Source organism: Homo sapiens, chromosome 11 (assembly GCF_000001405.40).
Source record: "Homo sapiens chromosome 11, GRCh38.p14 Primary Assembly".
Lineage (NCBI taxonomy): Eukaryota > Metazoa > Chordata > Mammalia > Primates > Hominidae > Homo > Homo sapiens.
This window is the reverse complement of record NC_000011.10, coordinates 117,885,767-117,909,371: the sequence shown is the minus strand read 5'-3', so window position 1 is coordinate 117,909,371 and position 23,605 is coordinate 117,885,767. Positions and strand designations below refer to the sequence as shown.

The following is a 23,605-nucleotide window of genomic DNA, read 5'->3' as shown; positions in this document are numbered from 1 at the left end:
TTTGGGGGCCCACAGCCCAGGCTGGTGGGCAGGAAAGAGCTCTGGGACCAGGCCTCAGGGGCACTGGCCTCCCTAGTAATGAGTTCAGTGTGTTACTTTGTCCTGTCTGAATTTGCTGAGGGTAATAATACTGAGATCTTATCAGTACAAGCCCTTGACCCTGTCTGGTGAGTGAATCTGTGTCCCCATCCCTAGTCCCAGCACCTTCTGCAGCCCTGTGACTTGTCAGCATCTGTCAGTTCATATCGAGGCCCCAGAGTTTCAGCATGGCAGAAGTCAAAGTCTCCTATTTGATCCTTGGTGACTTGCAGAGGAGATAGTGGGGGGGGAGTGCCACACAGAGGTCTTACTCATCCTTCCCTCTTTATTACTGTAAGGTGCAGAGCTGCAAGCTCATAATTTTTGAGGGGCTGTGGGGGATTGCTTTGGACTCCAGGGATAAGATAGAGGGTTCCCTCCAGAGGTCATTTTATCCATCCTCCTGCCTCCAAGCTGGTGCTCTGACTGTGGCTCCCTGTAGGTAGCAGGGGCTGCCAGTGAACGCTGCCAGGCAGGTACTGGACCACGCTCCTTTGTGGCTCTTGCAGGACCCGGGAGAAGGTCCTGGAGGGCTGGAAGGTGTACGCGGGCACCAGCAACCTGCACCAGTTGCCTGAGGCAGCCTCCATTGCCGAGATCATCATCAACAGCAATTACACCGATGAGGAGGACGACTATGACATCGCCCTCATGCGGCTGTCCAAGCCCCTGACCCTGTCCGGTGAGGGAATCTGCACTCCCCGCTCTCCTGCCCCCCAGCCCCAGCACCCTCTGCAGCCCTCGCACTTGTCAGCATCTGTCAACTCATATCCGGGCCCCAAAGCTTCTGCAGGGCAGAAGTCAAAGACTCTTAAAGATCCTTACATGGAACACTTCTGTTTTATAATTAGGGAAACTGAAGCCCAAGGGTTATAAATAAGTTTGCTCCAAATGACACATCTCACATTACAAATTGATGACGGAGTCAGGGCTTGGGTACTGATCTTAATCAATAGATTGAATTCTTTCACTGGTATTAACTGAGCACCTAGGGGCCAAACGCTATGGTAGGCATTTCACACATATGATTTCATTTACTCTTCACAACCAACCCTGTGGAGCAGGCACTATTATTAACTTCATTTGACATATGAGGAAATGGAGCTTTACAGAGAGATAATTACCTGAGGCCACAAGTAATAGGTGGTAGCTCTGGGATTGGAACCAGGTCGATCTGATTCCCAAGCAGTGCTCTCCCCACCTGGCTCTAGACTGGCAAATTGCTTACCCTGCAGTCGAGAACTTAAGCTGAGTACACATTCAAACAACTAATTGCTACAACGTTGTTGCTAAGGACCAAAGGAGGCTACACAAAGGAAATGCTGCAGAGGTTCTCAGAAGATCACTGTGGACAGGGGACGTCAAAGAAGACTTCATTCATTCATTCATTCATTCACTCATCATTCATCCATTCACTCATTTGTTCACTTATCAAATACTATATGGCCAGCCCTATAGTACAGTTGCAAATAGAAATAAAATACACCAAGACGACCAGTAGAGGCCAATTATACGATGTTTTCGGGGAGCAGGGAGCTATGGTGGCATAGGCGGGAGCAACTAATCATCCTGGCAGGCTAGGGGAAGCTCAGCAGAGGAAGGATAGCCAAGGTGGGTCCCGAAAAGATTGGAGAAGACAGGTAATGGGGGCTCAGGGAGGACCCTGAAGAATGGAGCCAGAGCCCTCTGGCATAAGCATCTGTAAAGGTGGGAGAGGGAGGAGGAGTACCGGGATTTCTGGAAGCCTCGGAGGACTCTCTGGTTAGTCCAGCCATTCTCGTGCTCTGAGCCTGTGAGCTGGTGTTTCCTCGCACATTAATTATGGAGGCGGTGTCTATCATGAGTCAGAGCAGTTAGATCATCAGAGTGGGGTGAGGAGGAGGATCCCTGGGTAGAGCTCGGTTGGGCAGCGCTAGCCCAGAACCACGCCCACGCAGCGTCACACCCACTCGTAGCCACGCCCCGACACGACACGACACGCCCACCAGCCTTTCTGAAACTCCATCCTTGTCTGTGGAGTCCAGGGCTGAGGTGAGGGATGCCCGCTACCTCCTGCCCTGCCGCTCAGCACACAAGAAGGGCACAGACTGCAGGACCAGAGCAGGCCTTCTCACCTTGTCAAACCCAGGCTGTATTTGGCTAAACATCCAAATCTTACCTCCCACCCACCCTCCACCCCTTAATATTATTTGGAATTCCAAAACTAAATAATTTCTAAAAGCGAATGAAAGCTATTCTCACATTGCGTATGCTTTTCAAACGTAATAGTCTCCCTCCAGGCTCCAATAGGCTTTTGGGCAGGAAGCAGACCCTTAGTCTGAGAATCACAGCTCAGATGTATGTAGTCCTGTGGCCAGAACATGTGCCCTGATTTTTGGTTTAGAAATCAGGACTGATTTTCTTAAACTCATTTGGCAGGTGGAGCACTAGAAGTCACAGTACTTTTGCTTGTGAAAGTTCACTGGTAAATTTAATTCCCCCATAAAAAACAGTGAAATATCTAACGATGGATCATGTAACAGTGTTACATGTTTTTAAAACTTTACATCTCAAAAAGGGGCATAGAAAAAAAATCCTATGCTGCATTTTTGTTAATAATGCATGCTATTCCTTCATCTATTTTTTGTTTACTCTCTAGCAGACAAAAGTGAGGTAGACACCAATGTTTAAAGCCTAATTCCAATTTATGGGAGAAGAATTTAAAATCATCCTTCCCATCTACGCTTCCTGCCTTGTCTCTATCTTTTTAAACATTTATTGAGCACTTAATATGTGACAGGCATTATCTTAGGTGCAGAATACTGCAGTGAATATAACAAAGGGTTGAGAATACTGCAAACATTCTATTAACTAATATTTTCCTCCTGCAAACTCAGATGTGTTGGTCAATGCCCTGGTCCCCCTAGGGACACCAGTCCTCAGAGCTTATGAAGTGATATATAACAGTGACTTCTAAATATAATATTTCTGAATGTGGGATCAAGTTAGCAGGAATTCTGTGGTCTGTGTCTCTAGGAATGTGTTTCCTGTTTGGAGAGATTTCTTACCTTGTGCTGGGAAAACATTTAAAAGGAGAGCCACAGGCTCTGGACAACCAGTGGGTACCCTCGCCAGACCAGGCTGGACATACCGCTGAGATGCCATGGTCATAATATCTGGGTCTTAGCCTGCTGCTGTTCCTTGTTCTAATGGAAAGACATGGAAGAGGCTCCACCAGGAGAGACCCTCTCAGTAGGGAGAGACCCTCAGCTGCCCAGTATCGGCTTGTACAAGGGAGCTTCCAAGGCTTACGCATCTGACCACAGGGCAACCACTGAAATCAGAACGGCTTTGAGGACTCTGGTAGCCCCCAAATGCTGGTGGGTTATGATAAAGTGATCGAGTTTCATGTCTGGTCAGTCCAAGGCTCTGGAGGATTCAGATCCAGGACTCTAGAGTCAAGGATTAATGTTCTAGGAGACCCCTCCTTGCCCCCAGAGTGGTTGTGCTCCTTCTCCCTCCCCCTACTGAAAGTCTCAGCCTTGTTCCTTCACTGACGTCTGGAGGTCTTGTTGCAGCTCACATCCACCCTGCTTGCCTCCCCATGCATGGACAGACCTTTAGCCTCAATGAGACCTGCTGGATCACAGGCTTTGGCAAGACCAGGGAGACAGATGGTAAGAGGCAAAGATGCTTGGTTGTGTGTATGTATTCATGTGCATGTGTGTGTATACATGTGCGTGTGTAAGCAATGTGTCTGGGTATACAGATGAAGGCCTATGTCGATGAGCGTTTGGGTATACGGATTCATGGGCCTGGGTGTGATTATGTGTGTATAGACACCTGAGTATATGCCGGTGCAGTCACTGTGACAATGCCCTCCAATCAAGACCACCTGGAAAACTGCTGTGGTTGAACTAGTTGAGTTCATTGCTCATTGCAATGAGAGAGAGAACACACCATGAAGAACCATGGAGCATCTCAGCAAGAGGGTGTCAGAGAGGGAATGCTCGTAGGATTTAGGTGGCTTGGGGAGGGTTCAAAGACGCAGGACTTTTCTCTAAATTGTGGTGTCAGGAAGCAGGGGTTATGATTGGGAACCTTAATAATCTTATCTAGAGGCCGGGCACCGTAGCTTACACCTGTAGTCCCAGCACTTTGGGAGGCCAAGGTGGGAGAATCTCTTGAGCCCAGGAGTTCAAGACCAGCCTGGGCATCATGGCAAAACCCCATCTCTACAAAAAATAGAAAAATTAGCTGGGCATGGTGATGTGTGCCTGTAGTCCCAGCTATGAGAGGGGCTGAGGCAGGAGGATCACTTGATCCCAGGGAGGTTGAGGCTACAGTGAGCCATGATCATGCCACTGCACTCTAGCCTGGGTGACAGAGTGAAACCCGTCTCAATTAAGAATATATATATATATATATATATATATATATATATATATATATAATCTTATCTAGGAGCTCTAAGTGGTAAGGAAGCAGCAGTCACTCATATTGGCCAGGAGAGGGGGATGTCTGGTACTGTTGTGGTTTGCACAGTGACCTTGTTTTTGTCTGGCCTTAAACAAGATGATGAAGTGGTCTTGTTTTCATGTCATCCCAATCACAGAGTGCCTTGTCCTGTGAGATTGCTTACTTTGAGCAGGATGACCCCATGGTTAGACTCAGGCCACTTCCATGCATCAGGACCGCTTTTCCCTCCCTCCGTGAGGCAGAGCAATGACTGATGTGGGTGCAGCCTACTTCTCCTCTTGTCTCCATACCTGACTAGCTGTGTGACTGTGGGCAGGTCACTTCTCCAGCACCAGGCCTCCCCACCGGTAAATGGATTAATGCCACCTGCTCTCTTTAGGGCACATAGCTTCCAAAAACAAACAAAGCCATGTATCTGAGGGTGCTTTGAACGTAGGCAAGTGCTGTGCAACATGTCGGGTAGCCTGATAGGCTTGTGAGTGTGTCTGTGTGCATGGATGTCTCTGTCTCACGTGCAGTGAGCTGTGTCTTGTGTGAGGGCGTGTGTGCCCATATGTCCTGGGTGTCCAACCACAGAGGGCCTCCCTTGGGTGGGAGCCAGGCACGGGCATGGCACCCTCCATTCCCAGGAGGCTGTGATTCTGGGTCTTGGGGTGGCAGCTGGACGGCCAGGAAGCTATCTAGAATCTCACTGGCTTCCCATCCTCTGTCTCCTCCACCCCACTTCACTGAAGACAAGACATCCCCCTTCCTCCGGGAGGTGCAGGTCAATCTCATCGACTTCAAGAAATGCAATGACTACTTGGTCTATGACAGTTACCTTACCCCAAGGATGATGTGTGCTGGGGACCTTCGTGGGGGCAGAGACTCCTGCCAGGTGAGGGTACCTGTGGGTGGGGCTCAGGTCCCAGCACCCTGGGGATGGGGGAGGCAGGGGTGTTGGGGCTGATGTGGGAATTGGGACCCCACCCTTTCCCGCTCATGGACCACCTGTCCCATCCTGCGAATGTGCCCCCTCTCCCCTGCAGGGAGACAGCGGGGGGCCTCTTGTCTGTGAGCAGAACAACCGCTGGTACCTGGCAGGTGTCACCAGCTGGGGCACAGGCTGTGGCCAGAGAAACAAACCTGGTGTGTACACCAAAGTGACAGAAGTTCTTCCCTGGATTTACAGCAAGATGGAGGTAAGATCCCTGCAGCAGGACACTGCACCCAGCAGGCTGGGAACTTCCTCAGGTGGGGACCCTGGAGGAGCACCCAGGTTGTAGGCAGAGGTCCCCTCAGCGTCCCCATATTCGGGGGGTGTTCTGGACAGGGTCAAATGTGATGCCTGGGGTCAATCCCAGCTGTCTGTGTTTCTTTCCCTGCTTTTCTTCCCTCAGAACAGAGCTCAGCGGGTTGAAAAAGGGTGGACCTACAGGCCAGGCAGGCAGTTGCTGGGCAGATGTTCTCCCAGAAGTATTTTTTTGTGTAAGGTTGCAATGGACTTTGAAAACGTTTCAGTTTCTGCAGAGGATTTTGTGATAGTTTTTGTTATCAAGCATTTATGCATGGGAATCCGCTCTTCATGGCCTTTCCCAGCTCTGTTTGTTTTAGTCTTTTTGATTTTCTTTTTGTTGTTGTTGTTGTCTTTTTTTAAAAACACAAGTGACTCCATTTTAACTCTGACAACTTTCACAGCTGTCACCAGAATGCTCCCTGAGAACTACCATTCTTTCCCTTTCCCACTTAAAATATTTCATCAGAACCTCACTACTATCATAAAAGAGTATAAAGTAATAAAATAATAAAAAGTTATTTTATGTTTTTTGACTTGCTTTAACCTATATCCAACCTCAGAAGTCATTGCTCAGGTCAAACTGAACCACAGACCCTTCAGTGTGTGCCTTACCTTGCCCTTGGCCTTTGGAATACTTGATCCACCCTAGAGAGTCCCCTCTCCCACTTCCACCCTCTCATCTTCCATTTTTCTTACTGAAGAACTCTGACTAATCTATCAAAATCAGCCATTTACAATGCCTGGAATATCCTCGGTATTTACTATTTATTGTTATAAATTAAGGATGAATGAATAAACAAATAAATGAAAAGAATAAAAGGTGGGCCTCACCTCGGTGCCAGCCCCAGTGCCACTCTCCTCTCCCAGGGATGACCGAGATGTGAGTTCACACAGGCCGCTGGCAGTGGAGTGATGGGAGGCCTCCCTCCACGGCAGGAATTTCGGTGTCAGGAAACAGGGATCTGCCTGCAACTCTGCTGACCTAGTTGAGACCCTGCCTTCTCTGGGCCTTCAGCCTTTAGCTGTAAAGCAGGGGGTGCTCTGCCAGCCCTCCCCTTCTCTGCCTGGGGAACAGGGGAGGGCTCAGATAGGGGGAGCAGAAAAGGCTCCAGAAATCTAGTGCAGAGAGGCCCTCCAATCCTGCATCCATCCTTTCCCTTTGCTCTCCCTCCTTGGAGAGGCAGTGCTAGGTGACAGCGAGGCTAAATTATAGGTTCTGAACCCCAACCTTGGGCTTCTGTGCTCCTCGCCCACCTGGCCCACCCTCACCCTCTTCTCCCATTCTCTTCCTCAGAGCGAGGTGCGATTCAGAAAATCCTAACCAGCTGGCCTGCTGCTCTGCACAGCACCGGCTGCTGTGAAGACTCTGGCCATGGTGACTGGCCATGTGTGGCATCATCTGGGCTAATGGCCACCGGGCACCATCGGACTCCCACCTCCACTGTCTGCTGCCTCTGTGTGTGTGTGTGTGTGTGTGTGTGTGTGTGCATATGTGTGCATTGCCACTCTCCCAAGTTTTTCAGAAACCAGCAGAGCTGTCAACTCTTCTCAAAATCCCAGGCTGGAAATTACCTGGAGACAAGAGTTGAGTACCGTGGATGTTCCTACAGGAGTGTCCATAGATGGATGGAGGAGGTGGAGCCCAGAGCCCAAGGAAGAGCTGGGAATTCTTGCTTCTCTGACCCTCACTTACAGACTAGCCCAGTGTGGGCAGATGCCAGCGGCCCAGGTGGCGCCATTGCTGTCCTGGGATGGATCGTGGGTTTTGGTGGATGCAGCTTCCCAGGGCCTGGACCGTCTTCGGTGAAAAGCTGCTCCCGTTGGCTTTATGAGCATCAAGTCCTCACCCAGACCCCCTGCTGGTGCCGTGGATGTCACCAGTCGGACTGTGCTGTGGCTAACCAGGCTGACAACTGAGATGAGGATTCACTGTACTCATTTGGTCACAAGCTGCTGGGGCGGGTTTTATTTTATTTTATTTTTATATTTAAGAAATGAAAATACGGGTATTTTTAAAGATTCTCCAAAAAGTCCAGAAGCCTTGACAGCTGGCATCAATCAGCCCAAGACCCCCAGGGGATTCATGGGAAATGTCGTATTTTAGAGTCCTACAGAATATTTCTGGCCTCAAGGAACTGGATGAAGAGACTGGACAAAGTCCCCAGGATGGGCATCCCCCAAGTCACTACAGCATCTGGAGCCCCTAGGAGATACTCAGGGAAGCAAATCCTTGTTTGGGCTGGCAAGCAAATCCGACACGACGAGGTCCACAAACTGTTTCTGCATCCCAGGGCTCTGACGAAGGCGTTAAGAAACAGATGCTGTTCCCGCGTAGGCTCCCAGGGGCCCCAGGGAGGTCCAGGTGGACTGCCTCTCTCATTCCCAGTAGCTGTCCTGGGACTTTGGGATTTCTTCTCAGCTTTCTCCACCTTTCAGTTTCTCAGTTGTTTCAGAAACATAGCAATGACATAAAAACTGCTATGGAGAGAAAGCTAACATGGTCCCATGCCTTCCAGGCAGCCCTGCTGAAGGATCTAAGTTGGCCCTGTTCCTGCAAATCATCAACGTGCCTGGACTCGCCAGCTAAAAGCCTGGGCCTTCCCCAGCCTTTTTTCTGGGGCACCTATTCCTCTGCCAGTCCTGCTCCCCTCACCTTCCTTGGGCCCGTCAGAGTCTTTTGTGGTGCTGTGCTTCTCAGAGGCAGGATCCAAGCAGATCAGCCCAGCCTAGCCCAGCTCAGGCAGGCCATGGCCGCTCAAGGGAAAGACTGCCCCAGAAGAGCAAGCTGGAGAGGCTGGGCAGGGGCTGATGGGGCTGGGTACACTGGGGAATGTTAGCAAGACTGGGAAGGAGGCCACATTCCTGTCTGCAGCAGCCGCCAGCGATGGTCTTCAGCAATAAAAGTTGTGTGACCTGAGACATCTGTCTTTGGATGTTTTACTGGTACCCTAGGTAACAAATTGAGGTTGCCCACCCTAGTGCCCAGACACTCTTGGTTTTGGTTCTTAGTTTTGGTTCCTCATCTTTGGGTTCTGCTCATTTAGCCATACATTCATGTATTCATTCCATTCACCAGCTGCATCCGTGCCTACTCTGTGCCCGGTACACATGCTAGGCCCAGAAGATACAAAGGGCATGACAGCATCCTCAAGGAACTGGGTCATGACCCAATGTGATAGAAGCTGTGATTGAGTGTGGACACCACGCATGGAACATGCACAGAGCAACCACCAGCCACACCTAGAGATGTCAAGGAAGCTTCACAGAGGAGGTCAGGTTTGGAATGAACCTTCACAAAGCAGGTGGGGGCAGGGGAAGGGCACTCCAGGGCATGTTCTTACCCTCTTCCTCTTCCTCTACTTCTGCCTTTGCTGGCTCAACAACAGACATGTTGACAAGGAAACCCCAAAGCTTACTCAGCTATTTCCAAGGGAATCGGATGGGTGGTCCCACTGGCCTCTTCTGAACGATCTACCTCTTCTTGCTTTGCACTTTTCCTGTGTTTACCATATTGACCTCAAACATTATGAGCCCACTGGTGAATCCCCAGCTCCACCTCTGTACCCCCATTCACCAGTGGGCTGATAGTCCCCAGGGGCACACCAGCCACAAGCACAGAATTCTTCAGGTTTCCCCACAAGCATCCAGCCTCTGGATACCCTGAACTTGATTGCTTTAGTCTTTCATATCAATGCCAGGGAAAGTCCTTCTTTTGATTCCTTTCTTGCTCTATCTGCACAAGAAGGTACAGGGGAGGTGGCAGGTGCCACGCTTACTATATTCCTAGGAGGGGTGACACTGACTGTAATAGATCCTACAGTTTCTGACAATTTCAATGGTTTAACCTAATTGAAGTTTATTTTGCATCCATGCAACAATCCTGTAAGGGTGTTCTGATCAGAGGGAGACTTTCTTCCACAAGCTTTTTCCATCTTGGGAGTTTGTCATCCACATTGTTGTCTACTTCTAGCCAGAAAGAAAATATAAAAAAGACTCATTCACTCCTTAAGTGCTCTAGCCCGGAAGTCATTTCCACTGACATTTTATGGGTACAGACATGTCATATGTGACATGTGGCACCACCTAGACAAAATTGGGCTGGGAAAGGCAGTCCTTGGCAGATCCCCCTGCAGGAGCCAGCACTCATTTCAGAGGACAACCAGCCATCTCCACTCACCATAGGAAGGTGGCTGCATCCTCAGAAGCCCAGCCTGGGCAGAAACTTAGAGCTTAGGCCATTTCTGTTTCTTTCCCCTTAGAAAGCAGACACTTTCCTTTCTCTCTCAGGGCATTCCTAGGACATAAATTGACTGGCAGGGATGTAAGGGTATGGGAGGGGGGCAGGGAAATAAGTTAGAGAAAAAGCAGGATCTGGATGGGAAAAGAAAAATACATTCCTTTGGCCCAGGATATCTATAGAGGCTACCAAAATTAGGGATGGCGGGGGGTGATAGGGCATTCTAAACTGGCGCAGAATCTCCAGGGAACTGTGTGTGTGTTTTGGGCAGGGAGGTGGTTGCAGTGACATTGTCCTATGTCCCTGGAGCCTAGGCTCCTCCAAGTACCAGCCAAGCCTTCTGGCTTTGTCAACTCTATTGACTGCTGAATTTCCATAGAATTTATCTGGGAAAGGAGTGCCAAGTGAGTGTGCTGGGCAGGAGAAGGGGGAGGCTATTGCAGGGAGAGATGATGGCTCTTTACAGAAGGAGCCACTTACAGCCTAGCAGGTGCTCCAGCTGCCTCTGGGCTTTGGTTAGATTCCCAGGGATCATTGTTCCCCATAATCACTTAGCTGTGGTCCTGATGCAATTGGGTGGACATGGGGACACACATGTGAAGTCCCCGTGATGGCCATGATGAGGATAATGATAATAATAGCCAGCATTTGCTAAACGTTTGCTATGTGCCACATGCTGTGCTGGACACCTGATGTATATTATCTCCTGTGAGCACAAGAATCCCGTGAAGTGGACATTGTCTTCATTCCTAATTTACAGATGAGGAAACAAAGGCCAAGCAAAGTGAAATAAGCCTCCCAAACTACATGACTGCTGCATGGCAGAGGTGGATTTGAATCCAGGCTCTGACATGCAGCTGCTTTTTTACACTCTGCATTCAGCTGCTCTTTTACACTCTGCACCAGAGTCAGGTGGAATCCTCCCAAGTGGGACCTCATAGGCTCTGCTCTCTGGCTCTGCGTATCTTTCCAAGAGTGTCAGGGTGAGACAACTCCCCAGAGAAGGCTAGGCGCACCCATCAGAGTGTCACATGACCAGAGGCTTAGACCATGTGGTTTCTGGTAACTTGGACAAGTACATCATGAGTGGGAGGAGGCCCTCCTCCACCCCGGTCCCAAGTGGATGGTTTCTGGGATGCCCTGTCAAGTCACAACAAGCTGTCACCCAGGACACCTCCAAGTCTCCTTGATGTAGGTGGATGGCTCTGAAAGGAACATGCCATTCATTCCCCGTCTCCTGTGCACTGGCCCAGGCTTCCTGTCCCTAGGAAGGCTGCCACCCAGTCCAGTAAGTAAGCGTGCTGTACCGATCTTACAATGGGTCCTCCCAGAGAACAGGGAGGACTGTGCTCAGGAGATAAACAGCCCTGGACCTTCTGGGACAGGAGGTCTTGAGACCTCTGAGAAAGGTGAGGGCATAGCCTGGTCTATGGTCCTCCACGGCTCACTCCTGCCAATGGGACATGGGAGGTGGACATAATAGGAGGCCTTCTCTGTCCAAGCCCTGAGTCCCAGAAAAGGTTGTCTACTTTTCATAGAAGGAAGGAGCTGGGAATCTGCTTTGAATAATTCCTTCTAATTACGCTGTGTTGTAGCAGAGAGAGCTCTGGAGTTGGAATCAAAGTACCTGGAGGTACAAATTCCAACTCTACTACTTACTCAGCTATGTGGTCTTAGACAAACCATCCTCTCTGTTTCTTCATATGTAAAATGGGTGTATCTGGCCTACATTCGTTGTGAGATTAAATGGTACGATCCATATAAACATGCAGGGCAAAGTGATTAGCATATCATGACCTCTCTGCATATGTTGAATTCGCAGCGAAAGGGTCAGATCCTTCACCCTCAGGCGCTTCATCAAACACATGACATAGGAGAGAGAATTTTGGATAAAGCTTCGAGTCCTAGGAAATTTGCCATGTCTCTCCATAAACTTTGTTCCTAGGCTTTTAGCAATGACCTGATCCTCCATGGAGGTGATGCTACCACCTAGGCCAGGTGGATATTCCCAGCTGGTGGTCCCTCTAAGTCGTGGAGCTCCATGACTTAGAGGAGCTCACCCCGCTCTCTCTTATCACTGACAGGGCCAGGAAAGCTGCCTGTCCCTGGAAGAATTCTCCTCTGGGAGATGTTAATGTCCTGCCCTGGCAGACTCTGACTGCTCAGCCAATGGAGTTGGCCAACTCAGGTCTGTGAGGGGCATTCATCTTCAGCCCCCACAACTCCTCAATCCACAGCCATCTCCTGCCCCACCATACCAGTGTCTGGGAGACACTTCTTAGTCTTCATCTTCCTGGAATTCTTGCAGCTTCTAACCATCGAGTGCCTCCTACTTTATGACATTGCCATGACCTCTGGGACATGGACTTTCCCAGGTCCCCTTCCTGCCCTCTGGCTGCTCTTTCTCAGTCTTCCACAGATTCTGAAATTGTGTTCCCAGGAGACGTCCCCAGCTCTCTTCTTTTCTCTTGGTAAATGGTAAATGCTCACCCTGGGCCATCTCATCTATTTCCAGGGTTTCCAACATACACCTGTGGAGCCAGCAGGAATTTGCTCCATGTCACTAAAGCATAAAAAATCTCACCTTTCTTTTTAAAATCAGATGAATCTGACTTTGAACTGCTGCAGCCTAGCTGAAAAACATCCCTTGTCACCTTCCTCCCCAGAAGAACTTATTGCCCATTGTTCTCCAGGTTGGGTACTCCATCTGCAGCCCTTGTGGGTACCCCTCCGAGTACTGTACAGGTAAAGGGCATAGTTTCCAAACCTCTGTTCTCCATGCCCTCACACTGAGGGACCTCACTGTTCCTGGGTCAGACTGAGGCTGCTCCCCTATCTTCAACCCTCAAATCTTCTTCCCCTAGCAGGTAGTTCAGGCCTGTCTCTTTTATGAACAGTGCACAAAGGCTTGTAAATTCTCTATGGGATCAAAGCCATTCTTTCCTGATAAGATCATGACAGAAATCAGGATGAGTATAGAATTCAGTAATTGTGTACATGTTTTCATGTGAACGTAAGTTTTCATTCCTCTAGGATAAATTACTATCAGTGGAATTATTGTATCCTCTGGTAATTGTGTGTTTAACTTCGTAAAAAACTGCCAGGCTTTTTCTAGAGTGGCTATACAATTTTTCATTCCTACCAACAATATAAGCATTTCGTTTGTTCCGCATCCTCACCGGTATTGTCAGTATCTTTTTTTGTAGCCATTCCAATAGATGCAACAAGATACAATGCTATCTCCTTGTGGTTTTAATTTGCATTTCCCTAATAACTAATAATGTTGAGAACCTTTTTTATGTGTTTATTTTCCATCTGCATATCCTCTCTGGTGATGTGTCTGTTCAAATATTTTACCCATTTCTTTATTGGGTTGCTTCTTATTGCTCAGTTTTGAGAGTTCTTTATATATTCTGGATACAGTCTATGTTGGACATGTGATTTACAAATATTTTCTCACTTTGTGGCTTGAATTTTCATTCTCTTAATTGTGTCCTTAACAGACCAAACATTTTTAATTTGGTAAAATTCAACTTATCAATTTTTTTCTTTTTAGATTGTGCTTTTGCTGTTGTATCTAAGAACCCTTTGCCAAATCCAAGCTCAGGAAAATTTTCTCTGATATTTTCCCTTAAGAATTTTATTGTTTTATGTTTTACATTTGGGCCTGTGATCCATTTTGAATTAATTTTTGAATACTCTCGAGGCCTAGATTGAGGTTCATTTTTATTTGTTTGCAAAAGGATGTTTAGTTGTTCCAGCACCATTTGTTGAAAAGACAGTATTTTTTCCATCCAATTGCCTTTGCATTTGTCAAAAATCAATTGAACGTGTTTGTGTGGGTGTATTTCTTGACTATCTATTCTATTCCATTGATCTATATGTCTGTTCTCACAATTATGCCATGCTGTTTTAATCACTGTAGCTTTATAGTATGATAGAATTGAATAGAGTGAATCCTCCAAATTCATCCTTGTCCAAAACTGCTTTAGCCATTCTGGTTCTTTTACATTTTCATGTAAGTTTCAGAACAACTTGCCTATATTTACAAAGAAACCTGTTGCAGTTTTTTATTGGGATTGTGTTAAATCTATAGGTCAGTTTGGAGAGAATGAACATGTTAATTATATTGAGCATGTTGCTCCATTTATATAGAGCTTTGATTTCTTTCATCTAGGTTTTGTAGTTTTCAGCCTACAAATCCTGTACCTATTTTGTGAGACTTACAGTTAAGTATTTACAGGTTAACATAACATTTTTATTAAAATAACTATGTTTTTCAAATCAAAGCAAATAAAGAATTTTACATTGTTTACACTGCTTTACATTTTTGCAAATCTCTTTAATGTCTGGCTTAATAAAAGATAATTGGATTCTCATACTTGGTTCTATATTCAATCTGTTGTTTATGTTGTTTTTGTTGAAATAAATGAAGAAAATCCAATCTCACATAGATATAGAGTTGGAAAGTGGAAGGGTATTTAAACGGCCTTTTCAGATAATTCTGGATCCTTTTTTAAATATTATGCTTAATCTTGAGAAGTGGCAGCTTATTGAAGGTTAGTCGCAATGTGGAATCAGAAACCATATTCATTAATTTTTTTGTATTGTGTTAATTTAAAATCTAATTAGACATTGGTCTATCTTGCACTCCGAAATGGGTCTTTTACACATGCCTAATTTTATACTATCATTCATCGATCATTTGGAAAATGTTGGCTCTCTAAGTTATAAATGACTTCCAAATGTTAACACATTTCATTATACAATACCAAAAACTACGTGTATTAATATCACCACTGGAAGTTCTAGCCAGAGCAAACAGGCAAGAGAAAGAAATAAAAGATATTCAAATAGGAAAAGAAGAAGTCAAACTATCTCTCTTCCCTAATGATATGATTCTATACCTAGAAGACCCTGAAAACTCTGCCAAAAGGCTCCTAGAATTGATAAACAACTCCAGTAAAGTTTCAGGATACAAAATCAATGTACAAAAATCAGTAGAAATCTATATGCCAATAACCTTCAAGCTGAGAGCAAAATCAGGAATGCAATCCCATCTACAATAACCACACATACACACAAAATCTAGGAATACATCTACCAAGGAGGTGAAAGATCTCTACAAGGAGTACAAAACACTTCTGAATGAAATCATAGATGACACAAACAAATGAAAAAACATTTCGTGCTCATGAATTAGAAGAATCAATATTGTTAAAATGGCCATATCACCCAAACTAATCTACAGATTCAATGCTATTCCTATCAAACTACCAATGCCATTTTTCACAGAACTAGAAAAAAGTATTATAAAATTCATATGGAACCAAAGAAGCGTCCAAACAGCCAAAGTAATCCTAAGCAAAAACAACAAAGCCACAGGCATCGTATTACTGGACTTCAAACTCCACTATAAGGCTATCGTAACCAAAACAGCATGGTACTTGTACAAGAAAAGTCACACAGATCAATGAAACAGAATAGAAAACCCAGAAATAAAGCCACACGCCTACTGGTATCTGATCTCTGACAAAGTCAACAAAAATAAGCAATGGGGAAAAGACTCCCTATTCAATAAATGGTTCTGGGATAGCTGGCTAGCCATATACAGAAGAATGAAACTGGACACGTACCTTTCACCATAGACAAAAATTAACTCAAGATAGAGTAAAGATTTAAATGTAAGACCTCAAACTGCAAAAATCCTACAAGAAAACCTAGGAAACACGATTCGGGACATCAGCCCTGGGAAAGAATTTATGACTAAGTCCTCAAAAGCAATTGCAACAAAAGCAAAAATTGACAAGTGGGACCTACCTAACTAAAGAGCTTCTGTACAGCAAAAGAAACTATCAAGAGAGTAAACAGACAACCTACAGAATGCGAGAAAACATTCACAGACTATACATCTGACAAAGGTCTAATATCCAGAATCAATAAGGGACTTAAACAATTGAACGAACAAAAAACAAATACCCCTATTAAAAAATGGACAAAAGACATGAGCAGACACATCTCAAAACAAGACATACAAGCAGCCAACAAACATGAAAAAGCGCTCCACGTCACTAATCACCAGAGAAATGCGAATCAAAACCACAATGAGACACCATCTCACACCAGTCAGAATGGCTACTATTAAAAAGTCAAAAAACAGCAAATGCTGGGGAGGCTGTGGAGAAAAGGGAACACTTATACACTGTTAGTGGGAAGGTAAATTAGTTCAGCTACTATGGAAAGAAGTTTAGCGATTTCTCAAAGAACTTAAAAACAGAACTACCATCACTGGGCATATATCCAAAAGAAACTAAACAGTTCTACCAAAAAGACACATGCACTTATATGTTCATTGCAGCACTATTCACAACAGCAAAGACATAAACTCAACCTAGGTGCCCCAAAACTTGGATTGGATAAAGAAAATGTGGTATATACGCACCATGGAATACTACACAGCCATGAAAAAGAACAAAAGTATGTCCTCTGCAGCAACATGGATGCAGCTGGAGGCCATTATCCTTAGCAAATTAATGCGGGAACAGAAAACCAAATACAGCATGTTCTCACTTATAAGGGGGAGCTAAACATTGGGTACTCACGAACATAAACAGGGCAACAGTAGACACTGGGGACTACTAAAGAGTGGGGGTGGAGTGGGGCAAGGCTTGAAAAACTAAGCATTGAGCACTATGCTCAGTACCTGGGTGGCGGGATCAATTGTACCCCAAACCTCAGCATTACACAACATATGCCTATAACAAACCTGTACATGTACCCCCTGAATCTAAAATAAAAGTTGAAATTATGAAAATATTTAATATAAAAAATAAATAAAATGTTCATCATGCTTAACCAAAAAAAAAATCACCACTGATCTCATCAGAAAAGTTTTTACAAATTGGGAAGCTGTCAAGCTCTTGATAAAGGATGTAGATTCTCTAAAATTCTAATTTTTATTTATTATTTATTTATTTATTTTTTGAGATGGAATCTCTCTCTTGTCGCCCAGGCTGGAGTACAATGATGCGATCTTGGCTCACTGCAACCTCTGCCTCCTGGGTTCAAGTGATTCTTGTGCCTCAGCCTCCCAAGTAGCTGGGATTACAGACATGCGCCACCACATCCGGCTGATTTTTGTATTTTTAGTAGAGATGGGGTTTCACCATGTTGGCCAGGCTGGTCTCAAACTCCTAATCTCAGGTGATCCACCCACCTCAGCCTCCCAAAGTGCTGGGATTACAGGCATGGGACCCCGCGTCCAGCCTGAAGATTCTAATTTTTAATTGAAAGCTTAAACTATATCATTAGTAACAAATATTGTTGTTTGTTTTCCCTGAGGCGATAAGCTCATTTTACTAATTTCTGAAAAATAATTGCCAGTTCTCAAGTCTGCATAATTATAATTTGTCTGTTGATCTTTATTCAAGTAAAAGTGGTGTTTCGTGAAAAAAGCAGTTAGCTTAGCATGCAGCTCAAAAATACGAGTCTTTTTCCTTGAGAGAAACTTGGCACTTTGGTATGTAGCAGAGATCCTCTATGCATGCTTCCCATTTTGTCACACTAAATATTAAAAAGACATGTGCTCAGGGTTGAAATTTAACCATATTAATAATTTTTAATAATAATTTTTGTGGCTTCTTCAAGGATGTTCTTAAGTGAAACTGGCAAGTATGTGGAGGTGAAGAACAGTCACTACAAGTACTGTGCAGGTTGGTGCCACTGTCTGATTCCTGCTGAGGAGACTCCGCCTTGCTCCTGTGCCATTGGTGCAGATGTCAACACAGTGAAAAAGACAAATGACATCATAGCATCATTATGAAAATAGTTTTGACCCTGCTGACTCCCTGAAAATGTCTCTGGCTCCCCGAGGAGTTCTCAGACCCTACTTTGAGGACTGCTACATTAGACCATACAAGACAAAAAAGCAAAATCCAGAGATATTGATTTGAACTCTACTTCCTGGAAATTCTACTGGAATCATATCTTTATCTCATCCTCACTACTTTTTCCGACTCTCAGGGAAAAGTGAACAATCTGTCATCTGAAGAGGCCTAAGTCTAGTCAGCTTTATGCTGTGATGTTGGGTCTTGTTGAAGAAGATGGATGAAAATCTAACTGCAGTTTAATAAAGAGCACAGTGGGTGGGAGAAAGAAGAGTGGTTGGGAATTTGGATTTTCTTAACTTCCTGGGTTTGATGCATCCCAGGTGAGCACTCAAATTCTAGTTAGAAACACTTCAATAATTCTCTCTGGGTTTCAGGAAGCATATCTGATATAGTCAATATCAGCGATGATGTCTGGATGGGTTCAGTTTTGTGGTTGGGAGTAGAGATCAGAATCCATCAGTTCCTCTCTGATAATCCCTCTAACTGGACTAATAGATGACCCAAATTCAATTGAATTCAACAAATTGTCACAGGCACTTATTAGTACCAAGAATTGTCTGAAACGCTGGGAACAGAGGCTGAGGTTGGGTTAGAGGACACACACCTATCGGTAATTCATCACAGTATTCACCTAGCTGGCCATTCCTACTCCGGTCTTTTTTTTTTTTTTTCTTGATTGTGTTTGTAATTTTGTAATTTAGTTCTCATTTTACGAGCATTTAAAAATAATCCAAACTGGCTAAGCACAGTGGCTCACACCTGTAATCTCAACACTTTGGAAGGCCAAGGTGGGAGAATCACTTTAGGTCAGAAGTTTGAGGCCAGCCTGGACATATTGAGACCTCATATCTACAAAAAAATTAAAAAATAGCCAGACATGGTGGTGCCTCCCAGCTACTTGGGAGGGTGAGGCAGGAAGATCTCTTGAGTCCTGGAATTCAAGATTGCAATGAGCTGTGATCCAACCACGGCCCTCCAGTCTCAGTGATAGAGGTCCTGTCTCTAAACCAAAACCAAAACCAAAAAAAAAAAAAAAAAGTCCTGAAAATTAAGAAAATAATATAAAATGTGCCATTTATGTATGCCAAGCATTGTACTATAAACTCATCACATTGTCACATACCTTATCTCAATCTCTCCAAACATTATGAGGTAGGTACTGTTACAAAAAAGAAAGTAATCAATCCCACCATCTAGAGGTAAATACAGTTAGCATTTTGATAAAATCTTTCTGGAACTTTTTCCATACATCCATAGATAGATGTCTACAGTTTTGTATTAATGGGATCATATTATACAGGTTGTTTTGTATCTTGATTTTTTTTCTCAGCTATATGAGATGAATACCTTCCCCATGAGGTTAGATATTACAAGTAGTCCTCCTTCATCTGAGAGGAATATGTTTAAAGCTCCCAGTAGATGCCTGAAACTGTGGCTAATACCAAACCCTATCTCTCTCTACCTCCATCTATCTATCGTCTATCTATCTATCTACCTATCTATCTACACACACTCTCTCTATATATATATATACACACACACACTCTCTCTCTCTCTCTCTATATATATATATATATATGTGTGTGTGTGTGTATACACATATATTTTTTTTTCCATACATATATACCTATGAAAAAGTTTAATTTATAAATTAGGCACAGTAAGAAATTAACAGCAATAACTAATAATAACATAGAAGAATTTAATAACATACTGCAATAAAAGTTATGTGAATGTGGTCTCTCTCTCTCAGAATATCTTATTGAACTGCTCTTACCCTTCTTGCTGTGATGAAGAAGGGACAGAGCCTGGTGGCACAAGGTTTCATCACACTACTCAGGATAGTGTACCATTTATAACTAAGGAATTGTTTATTTCTGGAATTTTTCATTTAGTATTTTCAGATCTTGGTTGAACACAGATAACTGAAACCATGAAAAATGAAATCATGGGCCAGTTACAGTGGCTCATGGCTATAATCCTAGCACTTTTGGAGGTGGAGGTGGAAGGAACACTTGAGCCTAGGAGTTCGAGACCAGGAGACCAGTCTAGGCAACACAGTGAGATCCTGTTTCTAAAAAAAAAAAAAAAAAAATTAAATTGTGGATTGGGGGGACTCCTGTACTTTCCTTTGTAATGGTTTCAGAATATTCCACGGTATGGATCTATCAGTTTACTTAATCCATAAGTGGACATCTAAGTAGGGTAGTTTCCTACATCTAAGTAGGGTAGTTTGCTAATAGTATTAATATAAACAATACTGCAATAAATTTCTTCGTGCATTCTCAAGCAATGATCTCCAGAAGGTAAATTCCTATAAATAGGATTGTTTACATTTCTATCCTAAATGCAAAACTGTTTTTTAGAAGAGTTGAATTCACTTCTATTCCTCCAATGATGTCTACTGTAGCTTCAAAGAACGCAAAAGGCTGACAGAAAAGTGCATGTGAATGTGTTCTTATATGGATACCTGTGTGTATATGTCAGCTTTCCACATGTGTGAGGGTTCATTTATTCATTTAACATTTTTGAGCATCTACCACATCTACCATGAGGCAGAGAGTCAGGGATTCAACTGTAACAAACTCAACATGACTCCAGCTCTGATGGAGTCAAACATATATCTTTTTAAAATAAAACAACTGCCATCAGTGCATGAAGAAAAATTATGTAAAGATATGACTGCCTGTACCAAGGGTCTGCCCTGGTCTGGTGATGATGTAGGGGAGATCAAGGAAGGCTTCTTTGAAATGGGAATATTAGAGCTAAGCTCTGAAGCACGAGAAGGCATTCACTAGATGAAGAGTAGGAGGAACCGTGTTCCAAGCAGAGAGAAAATTTTTATCTCTTGTTCCACCCTCAGCAGGAATATCTTGCCAAGCAAATCTACTGCCATTCCACACACACGAGCAGTCCTGCCTCTCCGCCTTTGTTCGCTCTTCTCCCAACTCTTTTTCCTCCCAAGGCAGGAGGCCTATGACTCAAAAAATGCAAAGAAGCCTGGAGAGGCTGGAGCCCAAAGAGAGAGTGGGAGAGTGAGGCCAGCAGGTACTGAAGATGTGCCTGATCTTGCGTGTCTGAGTGTGTACATGCAACGGTGCATGTGTGCACCTCTAAGCGCTGTTGGTAGGTGTACTGGTCACTGGCTATCAAGATACATTCCCCTGACCAGAAGTATAAACATTCCTTTGGGCTGGGCCCAGAGATCTGTGTTTTCACAAGCCTCTCAAGGTCTGTGAAGCATGCCCAAGTTTGAGAACCACTGGCCTGGAGGGCGTGTTTGTCTGATCGCACCTGTGTGCACGAGGCTTGGGGATATTTGACTTGCAGGTGGAGATTTGCATCTAGGCATCCTTGCGGCAGACAGCCCACTCTATCTCACTTGATTTTGTCCTCTCAGAGCACTCCTGAGGTTAGGGCAGGCACTCTGGGGCACTTAGCACATATTAAATGTTGATGGTAATGACAGCAGCCAGACGTGTCTCCAGCTGAGCCTCCGTTTCTTACCAGTCCCTGGGTAGAGCAGACACAAGTTGCCCTCCTTTTATCACCATAGAAATCTAATCTCAACTGTGCGGAAAGCAGGAGGTTCACACTGGGAGAGCAGGAGAAATGGCCGATTAGGAGTGGGAAAACATCCCGTACTTCTCTTAAGCAGATTGCAGGGACAAAGGAAACCATTTCTGCCCACCCCTGGCTGATGTCCCTGGGTGTGCAAAGAGAGACAGAGAGGGCAGGGGTAGGCGTCCAGATCTCAGCCCCACATGGGGCAGGGGTCAGAGATGGCCGGTGACTGAGAGAGGGAGTCCTTGTGTCACAGGATCAGGCATGGTGGACCCCCTGTGGAGCAGGATCTCCTCATGGGAAGAAGGCACCAGGAGTGCAGAATGCCTGAAGGCTGTGAGCCAAAGTCACATCTCCCCCAAACCAAATCCCAAGCAAGTACCTGCTTTGCAACCAGATTCCAGTCCTGGCTCTGCCACTTACCAACTGAGTGACTTTGGGAAAGTTGCTTCAACTCTGTCAGGCTCAGTCTCCTTGTCTCTGAAATGGGGATAACAATAAAATCTACATCCCAGGGCTGTTGTACAGATTAAATGAGATGACAAGTGTGAACTGATCAGTACCATGCCAGGCATATAGTAAATGCTCAGTTAAAGTTGGCTGCTGTGTTTGCGTTGCTTTCTTGAGGCCTCTCCTGCCCAGAGAGTTACATTTGGTCTTCTTGCTCCACTCCCTGAACCAACTCCATGATTTAAATTGGTATGGCCAGGGTCCTACAGACATGGGGATGGACCAATGGCTCTTTCTTTCCTCCTGGATCACTTAGTTTCTGGGCACCCTGTAAAGGCCTGAAGTAGTAGGCATATTCTCTGCCCCACAGTTTCTGATGGCTTGCATCTCTGCACCCACTATGACTTTACATCATAATGGTCTGCTGTGGGGTGAAGTTCGCCATAAAGAGAGTCATGGGTGAAATGGGGATAAGTAATGCCCAGCCTGCTACGTTGTCTAGGGATAAGGTGTGGGACATGCCCGGCTCCAGGCCTGGCACATAGTAGGTACATAATAGGTTGTTAAAGATTAAGTAGATTAAGTTCGATCTTGAGATGAATCAAAGTGGTGTGAGTTAGTATAAGAAAGTCAAGAGATGAATAGTTATTGAGCTATTATAGTTATAGTTATTATAATTATCAGCCTGCAGGTCCCACCCAAGTCATTCCTACCTCTGTGCCTCAGCTTGCCTGCCCCCACCCCAAACCCTCCTCCTCCTCCTTCACGGGTGGCTCTTCAGGGAGATGGCCTTGACCGGCCCCATCTCCGTTCTGATCCGTCTCTTACTCTGGATACCTTTGGTAGTAAATATAGTTATTATAATTATCATTGCCAGGCACCGCGGCAGGTATTTTACCTGTGTTATCTTCACGAATCTTCCTAATTACCCTATGAAAGAGGTGGTGAGTATCACTGATATAATCTTAACAGATGAGGAAACTGATGCTCAGAGAAGTTAAGTAACTTGTCCAAGACCAAAAGTAATTAAGTGGCAAGTCCTGGAATTCAATTAATGATTATTTGCGCTCATTCTGCTACCGCCCTACTGCCTTCCAAAAGACCCTCATTCTTTGGCATGGAAACTGCAGACAGCATTGTTGATCTCTCTGTTGAGCAAGAATTATTTGCCAAAGAAATAAATGTACCAACCTGGCTCATTTTGCCCACTCTGACCACAGGGTGAATTCTTCCTGCTACCTGACCTTGACCCTTCCTACAACAAGCAAAATCCCTTTTCTCTTGTTCAGTCCTCAGCAGGACAGCTGGGAAGATTTAAACAGCTTGCTCCATGACCAGTGGTTCTTCCGAGAATGGAAAACTAAAAATAAACTCTGTTGGGTGGCGTCTCCGAGGCCTCTTCCAATGACAAAGAGAGGCTGGACTTGGAGGGGAGGGGAAGGCAGAGAGCAGAATCTGGACAGCGGGTTCGGAAGCCCTCCGCCTCGCTGATTTAGTGCCTGGATCTGGTCCTCTTCAAGGCCCTGGTGAGATTTCTTATCAGCACAGTGGGGCCCAGGACGGCTGTGTTAAAGGCCCTCCCACTTGGGCGCCAGCCAGTCCTCTCCCCTCTCTGCTGGTGGACGAACCAAATAAGACAAACGGACTTCGTCT

General features: G+C 45.2%; 1 protein-coding gene across 4 annotated transcripts in view, besides 1 other annotated feature; it reads left to right on the top strand.

The window, feature by feature from the left end:
• TMPRSS13 (transmembrane serine protease 13) overlaps positions 1 to 8,731 on the top strand; it is a 28,762-nt gene extending 20,031 nt beyond the window's left edge. For 2 of the 4 annotated variants that reach the window (NM_001206789.2, NM_001077263.3), the window contains 5 exons: positions 588 to 760; positions 3,636 to 3,734; positions 5,271 to 5,413; positions 5,565 to 5,717; positions 7,107 to 8,731. In NM_001206789.2, the coding sequence (NP_001193718.1) occupies positions 588 to 760; positions 3,636 to 3,734; positions 5,271 to 5,413; positions 5,565 to 5,717; positions 7,107 to 7,133 (595 nt within the window). In that variant the 3' untranslated portion in view covers positions 7,134 to 8,731. Of the gene's footprint in view, positions 1 to 587; positions 1,576 to 3,635; positions 3,735 to 5,270; positions 5,414 to 5,564; positions 5,718 to 5,920; positions 6,331 to 7,106 lie in introns of those variants that run through there. The other 2 variants (NM_001244995.2, NM_001206790.2) reach the window with 2 other exon arrangements.
• Positions 1,558 to 2,058: an enhancer, noted in NCBI's record as "H3K4me1 hESC enhancer chr11:117778029-117778529 (GRCh37/hg19 assembly coordinates)". NCBI's record gives its function as "activates a minimal SCP1, AML or CMV promoter by ChIP-STARR-seq in primed H9 embryonic stem cells {active_cell/tissue: H9 hESC(primed)}" and the evidence as "EXISTENCE:reporter gene assay evidence [ECO:0000049][PMID:30033119]".